General features: G+C 38.4%; 1 long non-coding RNA gene across 1 annotated transcript; it reads right to left on the reverse strand.

Annotated features, from left to right (window-relative positions):
- Positions 1-1,246: 1,246 nt before the first annotated feature.
- LOC105379157 (uncharacterized) lies at positions 1,247-8,573 on the reverse strand. Its single transcript, NR_188329.1, has 2 exons — positions 8,501-8,573; positions 1,247-2,372 (listed from the first exon to the last, which is right to left on the reverse strand). It is a non-coding gene; the product is annotated as an uncharacterized LOC105379157 (long non-coding RNA).
- Positions 8,574-9,278: the final 705 nt, after the last annotated feature.

Raw genomic sequence — 9,278 nt, forward strand, 5'->3', positions numbered from 1 at the left:
CCAGTGCTTCAAAAAATTTTTAAAAAGATTTAGCCAAGTCTGTGCATGAAAGGAAGTGGTTTTCACTAGGCATCATGCTTTTAAGATGACCATACTTGTTATGTGAATAACTTTATTTTGCAGCTATTTGCTTTGCCACATCACAAACAACACTTCATGCACTATTACTTAGGGAAAAAAAATACTCTGTGGCTATTATTTTTTCCAAAACAAACCTCAAACATTTTGTGATAATTTCAAACAGAGAAAATTGCAATAATAGTACAAAGAACTACTGTATACTCTTCACCTGGATTCGCAGTTTTTAACCTTTTGCCTCATTTACTTTCATCTCTTTAACTATCCATCCATCTGTGAATCCATCCATCTATCCCATCGTGCTGTGTGATGAACGTGCTGCATCGTGAACATGGGGTAAATGCACCTATGTCTATATTTATCTCTACCATCTACATAAAATGATTATGTGATTCTATTTTTCTGAATCATTTGAGGGTAAGCTGTAGGCACAGTTCTTCTTTACCCCTAAATAGTTCAGTGTGTATTTCCTAAAAACATGAATATTTGCTCACATAACAATGTTATAATTATCAAAATGTGAAATATTAATACAATCCCTTATCAAATCTACAGATCTTTATTCTAATTTTGCCAGAGGCTTCAAAAATATCTTTTCCTTGGTTGGGGGATATGTGGCAGGGTTTAGCTGTGATGCCTAGGCTGGAGTGCAGTGTTCTACTCATAGCTCATTGCAGCCTTGAACTCCTGGGATCAAGCTATCCTCCCTCCTTAGCCTCCCCCATGAGTATCTGGGACTACAGGCACGAGCTACTACTCCAATAATATTCTTTATAGCATTTTTCTCCCTGGTTCAGAGCCCAATCTGGGATCTTGTGTTAGGTTTAGTTTTTATGACTCTTTAATCTCCTTTAATCTGGAATGTTTTCTTACCTTTTTTTGTCTTTCATGATATTGTTTTGAAGAATACAGGCCATTTATTTTGTAGAATGTCCCTCAGTTTGGGTTTATCCCATGTTTCCCTATAATTAGATTCAGGATGCACTTTTCTCTCCCCTCAGGAATGAAAGGTAAGTGGTATTGTGTTTTGTCACACTGTCACACAAGCAGACACATGGTGCCTGTTCATCCCACTGGTAGTATTGCTAAGTTGGGTAAAAGGGTGTCCACCAGAGTTCTCCTGTTAAGCTACTATTTTCTCCTGTATAATTAATAAGTAAACTGTGGGAAGAGTCTCATTTTTTTTATTGGCTTTGGTCTAAAATAAGCACAGCCAAATAACAAGCAGCTGGAAACAGTTCTTACATATTTTAAGAGGAGGCCAGATAAGATTTCTTCAATAGTTTAGGAAAACATCCTGACTAAACATATTTGGATTTTCCTTTTTTCCTCGCCCTGTGGTGTATAGCCCTGTGCAGAATCAAGCAGAGCCCTTTCTTTTCACCTCCTTATCCAAAACCCAGGGTTTATTATTCGTTGACAAAATCATCAAGGAACTACATAGACACACACCATTTTTGGGAGGGAAGGTATCAGGTATGTAAAGGAAATATTAAAGGGGAATAGGAATGAAATAGGAATGAGGAGAACACAGAAATGCCAAGAGTACACAAATAATAGTTGACAAAGTCTTTTTAAACAAGTTAGGTGTGCCCCACTTCTAGTTTGCCTTTTCAACCTAGACAGGTCCTAAGTCATTCATTTCTCTCCTGCCTCCTTTTGTTGTGTTCTATTTTAGTGGGAACAGTGGTATCTCCCTGCAGGAAACATGCTTACTATATTGACACAAAGTTTATGATTGGTTTCCTCAAATTGTCTTGGTCATATTCATTGTTAAGAACATTTTTAAAAGTAAATATTATTATGGAGAAGTTGGAAGATGAAAAAAATGAAGTGAAGCCAGTTTGTATATACTCACTAAAGGAGGATGTGCCTGGATATATAGTTTATACTATCTGTAATATCAAACCCAGTGTTTGAGAGAAACACCATTCTTCCTGGCACAGAGATCTGAGAGAAGTTTCTCCAGCACAAAGAAGACCCTTTGTAATGAAGTAAATAATGTCCTTGACAACATTCTTACAGGAAAGCAACAAATGAGTTACAGGGCTGTTTCTTATGAAGTCTCTTGATGTGGCTGACTGCCTAATGCCAAAGCAGAGAGGAATGAAAGAAATCCGTCAGTGAGTGACAATGCCCTCTGATAGTCTGGTTTATTCCAAGGTTAACTTGTAGAGTATCTAAAGCGGTATTTCCAAATGTGCTTTTAATCTCCTTCAGCCATGTCCTCAGTTCTGTCAGATAGGGATGATAAAGCTTCCTCCTTGATTGCAGTGAAGGTTGAATGAGGTAAACTGATGGGAACCAGGCAACACAGAGCCAGTAGCATTGTAGGAAGAAATTAACAAATGGAAGTTATTATATTATTATTTTTGTTTTTCAGGAAGAAAAATAGGAATGAATGATTAATTAAAGCCCCAAATAGAACATGCTCACAATAATTTAGTTGGGAACATTTTTAAGCAGTTTTACCAGTCCATGACCCATGCCATTAAAAATGATCTTTGTAAATCATCCAGTGTGGTGCTGTCTCTTTAGTAAACCGGGAAAAGCAGAATATAAAGTATGCCCTTAGGTGACTTAGTGAGTGTGCTATTTAGGGTTGTTAGCTATAACCCAGTTAATCCTTGGCTTTGGTGCTGGAAAAACACACTATTTCCGTGGTTCTCAAAGTGTGGAAAAGGCAGCATCAGAACCATCTGGAAACTTTTTAGAAATGCACATTCTCAGCCCTGTTCTAGATCTACTGACTCAGAAACTGGGACAGGACTCAGCAATCTGTGTTTTAACAAACCCTCCAGGTGATTCTGATGCTTGCTAAAGTTTGAGAACCTCAGCTCCTCTGTCATAATTAAATAACAGGGTTAATCACTTACTAAGGCCTCTCCCAGGATATAAAAAAAATCCCAATTTCATATAGAAGGATGCATCTTTTTTCCTTCCCTGTGGTGAAGAGGGAGGCATTGTCCAGTGTACTGGGTCAAAGTGATATAATATTCTTAAGATGTAAGTTAAAATGAAAGAAGAACAGATTACATACATCCCCAATTTATCCCAATAGAAAATATTGGATTTGGCCAATACTGTATCTCTTGACTCTGCCTCTAATAGGAGCTTAGCCTAAAACTGGTTTCTATTCATAGAGTTAAAGGCTGAGGGAGAATGAATAAATGATTCTGTGAAAATAGCCTTAGTATGTATTAACCAGCTGTACCCAACTGACTTTCTCTTGTTAGCTGCACAAGGCAAAGGATGCTGAGATCTAGAGCATGTGCTTACAGGAGCAGAGGTAAGTTAGGTACAAGTTACTTGTACTTCCTGGCGTTTGAACAATAACTGGGCTCCTTTCTCTTTCAACCAGCAAAACATATTGTAACACTACTGCATTGAATGAGTGTGATGGATTAGAGGGAAATTCTTGAATGCCATCTCATTTACATTTTTATTAATTGATTCCCCTGCAACCTTTGGTACTTATGAAAAGTAACAAATTTCTAATAGCAGCCACATACCCAACACCAAATACACTGGTCCATTAAACAGGACTTAGGTGAAATGGGGTTTGAGCAGTAATGTTCGGACCCTATTCTAGGTGTATCAGGTTTATTTATTTTCTTGTTTGTAGGATGCTCACTCTTGGCCTATGTACGCAGGCTGCCAAGTACCAGAGATGATGCAGAATTCAGATTCCCAAGGAGGGGTAATGGACGGAAATGAACCCTTTCCTGCTTACACAGTAAATATTCACAAAGAAGTAAAAGCTAACCTGAGAAAAAAAAAAAAAAAAAAAAAAAACAGGAGAAAGGAGAAGGGGGGAAAGGCATTTTTTATTTTCATAGTGGGAAGAAATGTACTCTGGGAAGAAATGCATTGGCTCTGCCTCTATACAAAGAGCCCAGATACTGCCTCAGCCAGACTGGCTGGAGTCCAGAATGGAAATTCAGATGGTAATGACTATGTGTAGCTGGGTGGCTCATCAGATGAATACTTTAAAGGCAGATCTTTAATCATAAGCTCATGCAGTGTGGGAAGAAGTAGGGACTCTGTAAATATAATTGCTTCTCAGTTTAGGCGAAATGTTCAATATTAAATTTTAGAAAAAACAGATCACCTTTAATTCTAAATTTGGCTCATTTGGTTAAATGTCATATCCATTTCAAAAAGGAAGAATGAATGAGCTGATATCTTCAAACTTGCAGCAGGCTTTTAGGTTTTCCATTTTAAAAAACTTATTTAGTTTTTACAATATGAAAATTATAGACAGAGTGACATTTAAACCTTTGCTTTTCATAGCATTTCACACTTACACCATTTTAAAAGACAGCTATTAACATTTACAAAAATCTTTCAGAAACCAAATGTTCTAACATGCAGAATTCCAATTATACTGTGTAAGAGGGTTATCAACCATTCTTCTACAAGAATACTTTGAAGTGTCAGGTATTAAACCAAGAGCTAAAATGTCAGTTGCACATAGACAATAAATTACGGTTTATAAAATCTTGTAAGATTTATTTAATATTACAATTTTGACCTTTAGGTTGTCTTTACCATAGCTGGTTTAAGTTCCTCCTTCTCTTTCTGTGTGTGTGTGTGTGTGTGTGTGCGCGCGCACACACCTTTTTTCCCCTCTAATCTTACTTGAATGTTAAACAAATGCTGTGTTGCAAGTTATATGAAGTTATGTGACCCATTCATGCCCCGGCTAAATACTTCCCAAGGCTCCTAGCTTCTCCTGTTTGGGTAATGGGATCCTGTGAGGCATTGCCTGTTTCCTTACAGAGCACACAAATGGAGTCCTCAGCAAAATGTTAACCCTTGTCAGCCTGTCCCTGAAGCAGGAAATCTGTTTACCTCTTTTTTGGACTTACTCTTGAAGACAAGCCTGAAGTTGTAAGGACCTATCTCATGCTTCTCAACTATTTAGCAAAGGAAATAAAAGAAGATGCTATCCACTTTTTTTTATGTTCGCAATTTGGGATGAGATTTGCTAAAATGAACAGAAACCATTATCAAAAGACATTTTGATCATTCCCACTAAGCTGACAAAGAATCAGAAAATTTCCCCTGAAGAATGGGCTCCAGATCAGGTACCATCCTTCTCATATCACATGGGAGGTCCTCCTAACAACTTGTTTTCATTATTGGGCACTTTTCCCAGAAACGTGGGAAAGGTGGAGGGGAGAGAGGAAATATTGTATTACAGAAGCGAATGGCCAGTCATCTTGGTCCTCCCCAGCTGTTGGCAATGTTGAGGCTGCCCCTTCTCTTCCCCATGTTGGGAAGCAGCCAGAGCCATTGTAGTTTGCAGGAATTCTTTTTTCAATCAATAAATACACATCTCCATATTATCAGTAAATACTTATATAGCATTTCTGTGGACCAGACTTTATGCTAAGTGCTTTACATATTCACTCCCCATGAGGATTCTGAGATTTACTGGTAAGTAACCAAGACATAGGGAGATTTAAATAATTTTCTCAGCATCAAACAGCTAGGAGATGTTAGAGCCATACTTCGCACCCATTCCATCTGGCTCCAGAGTCCTTACTTTATGAATGGCATGGTTCCTTCTGAGAAGCACCTTATTCAGGTGGTTTATGAAAACCATGCAAGCCTATTAATACTCTTTGCAAACCATTTTTTTTAACCAACAATCTGAGAAGTTACAAATGACCTGAAATAAGGTCATATACTTGAGGCTTTCATTTTGTCACCTGCTTTTAAAAGCAACTTTGTGCTGAAGCCAAGAGCAACAAGCAAAAGCTAATAGTGAGGAATTGCTTGAGTAAGTGGTTCTCTGCAGCCAATTGCCAAGTCAGAAGCCTGTGAATACTTGTAGCTGATGCTTTAATGACACTCCTCATTTGTGGCAGATATGGCTTTTTTCTATATTTTTGTTAAACAACATATTGTGACATATTGTGTTAGCACATTTCTGAATGTTAGCTTCTGAGATATATCTGTGTAAAAAATAGATCAGTATTCATGATCCCATAGAAGAATATCTTGCACTGCTAGACCACCTTTTATGGTTGTGGTACAAATCAAATTCTATTTCAATGAAATAGCTGTAAGACTCAAAGATTTCTTACTTTCAGCTGATGGTCCACTTATTTTAAGCTATATTCCATATAACAAAATTCTAATATAACCAGAGAATTGGGTCACTTCCTTGGAGTCCACTGAAAAGGATTTAGCATGCAGTCATAAGACAGGCGCTATAAACATAATCACCCATCCATTCATTCATATTGATTGAGATCCACTTAGGGCTCTATCGGATATGCAGGGATTTTAATCCCTCATGCACTTCTATGTATTTAGGACACTGAGTGACAAATACTTTACATATAAATGAGTCAGCTTTGTGAAAGTCTTCCAGTCTGTGGTACTTTGTTACGGCAGTTGGAAGGGATCAGAATATCACCCCAAAATATGTCACTTTGGCATAAGGATTATTTTGAACTGAAGGCAATTAAGAAACAGCAAACATAGGAGACACTCTAGGCCATTCCCTTTTCTGCTTAAAAGGGCATAAATTTCCCCTTTGTAAAGGAAATCTTTGTAAAGGAAACCCACACTTGCAAAGTATAGGTGACCTCCTTTTTCCATAAGAGGAAGAGAAGAAAGACTCAGGAGACAATTCTTATCACTTGAGATGACTGAGTCTACATAACAGACTTTAGTAAATAATGCTTATTTACCATACATTTCTTAGTTCATTTTTGTGTTGTTATAACAGAATTTCTGATACAGATTTAATTTTTGTTTTTAAAAAAAGGTTTATTTCGCTCATGGTTCTGTAGGCTGGGAAGTTCAAGATTTGGTCGCCCCATCTGGTGGTTTCTAGTGAGGGCCTTTGCTTCATCAAAACATAGCAGATAATGTAAGGGGAACTGGGCATGTGCAAAAAAAGGCAAAACATGAGAGTCAATCTCACCTTATAACAACTGCTTTCTTGGGAACTTATCCATTCCCATGAGAACTAATCCATCCCTGCAAGAACTAACCCAGTCTCACAAAAAAGACATTAGTCCATTTTAACAATCTAATCACCCCCCCCACTTTTTTTTTTTTTTTTTTGAGACGGAATCTTGCTCTGTCGTCAGGCTGGAGTGTAGTGGCATGATCTCGGCTCACTGCAACCTCCGCCTCCCAGGTTCAAGTGATTCTCCTGCCTCAGCCTCCTGAGTAGCTGGGACTACAGGCACGCACCACCAAGCTCAGCTAATTTTTGTATTTTTAGTAGAGACGGGGTTTCACCATGTTGGCCAGGCTGGTCTCGATCTCTTGACATCATGATCGGCCCACCTCGGCCTCCCAAAGTGCTGGAATTACAGGCATAAGCCACTGCGCCTGGCCTCTAATCACCTTTTAAAGGTACCACCTCCCAGCACTGCCACATTAGGGACCAAGCCTCAACATGAGTTTTGGTGGGGACAAATCATATTCAGACCATAACAATTTCCTAGTCACCTTCCCACAAGTTACCCTCTCTAGAAGCCAAACTCCTCTTTTCCTTTGTCTAGTCCTTTCTTCATACTTTATCACCCTTTGCTAAAATAGTATGTAAGTCCCTAGGTCTAACCACAACTTTGGCGTTTTCACTTTTATTCTGTGAGTCTCCCACTTCCTTGTGTCCATGTGAAATAACCTTTTCTCCTGTTAATCTTTCTTTTCTCTGTTTAATTTGCAATCTCCAGATACTGAACCTAAGAGAGTATAGGGAAAGTTTTTCCTCCTCTACAGCCTCTTTAAGATAAATCCTGTCATGTACTAGACACTTACTTCTAGTTAAACATCAATTGATAATAGCAGGAATGACAGTAACTTATGTCCATTTTGGAGCTTTTTTTTCAAGAAGCCATGTACAAAGAGAGAAATGAAGGCTTAAATTTTTCAAAAACAAGGTCTCCTACAGATATAAATACAAACACAAGGTAAAGGTTTTATTTGATTCATTAAAGAGGAAACTGGTGAGGTGTTTCAACCAGTTCAAGGGATAATTTTGTAAATGTTAATTTATGGATCAGAAATGTTAAAACAAATGTGCAAATGGAGGCAAAACTGGCCTCTTCCACAGTGGGGAAGAAAGTCAATAGAACTTCTAGTAGGCATAATTTACATATCTACAGACAAGAATTACTTTGCATTGCAATCAGTTGTCCACAATATACAGAGTTGTAAAATAGCTGGAAGACTATGAAAGACTAGAATAAGATAACATGGAAAGGTGTGATATAAATAATGCATTTTCTACAGAAGCACAATTTTCCCTCATTTTAGACCAAATTCCCTGTGGAAAACCAGACAAGGAATTAGAAATAGACCTCTTTTCTTCATTCTAGTTACAAATCTCCTAGCTCAGTCCTTCATTACTGCATTACTTCTCATCTGTGTAGGTGTAAAACCTTCCTACCTGATCTTTTTTCTTCTTCAAGATCCATCTTCTTCTAGTTCATACTACATACCACTGACAGTTTGATGTTCTTAGAACACTTCTGTGATTGTCATGACACCCTTAGAAGTCTAAATGGTCCCCTGCTGCCTGCAGATGATATGTGAAAGTTCTAGCCTGGTGCCCCAGGAGTTAGCTCTATATCAGTCAGGGTTCCAAGTTGCAAGTTACAGAAACTGACTGGTTGACTTAAAGAAGAAAGGAATTTTTTAAAAAAAGATATTGGGCAGATTACAGACTTGTCAGGAGGGCTAGAAACAGACTTAGAAGCTTGTATTGCCAGAATGAATTCTCAAAATAATGCCACAGAACTGGCTGGATGAGGACACCACAGTTGCTGTCACAGAATGCTAGCAGAGTCAGTTCTCACTATGATGTGATTGCCATGTGCACTGTCTTCTATGGCAGCCATCATGCTACTGCACCAAGCTCTCAATTCTGCAACTGTCACCAAACCACAGTGGATTTTTTTCTGTCCCTCCTTGCATTACACGCTTTCTATCCAAAATCAGGGGAGTGGTCTGATTGTTAGAACTTAGGTGATATGCTCATGCCCCAGCAGCAAGGGAGGTTGAGAAAGAGCAATTGGCAGATTGGCCATCTTTAGTGGTAGGTGAGATGTGCCTCCTTCCATGACTCAAAAGTAGTGAATTCCACAGAGGAAACTGGAAATTCCTCAAAAGCAAAGGGAGATGATTTACATGCTGGGCAAAGGGCAAATATTCACTGTAGGTTCACT

Source organism: Homo sapiens, chromosome 5 (assembly GCF_000001405.40).
Source record: "Homo sapiens chromosome 5, GRCh38.p14 Primary Assembly".
NCBI classification, from domain to species: Eukaryota; Metazoa; Chordata; class Mammalia; order Primates; family Hominidae; genus Homo; species Homo sapiens.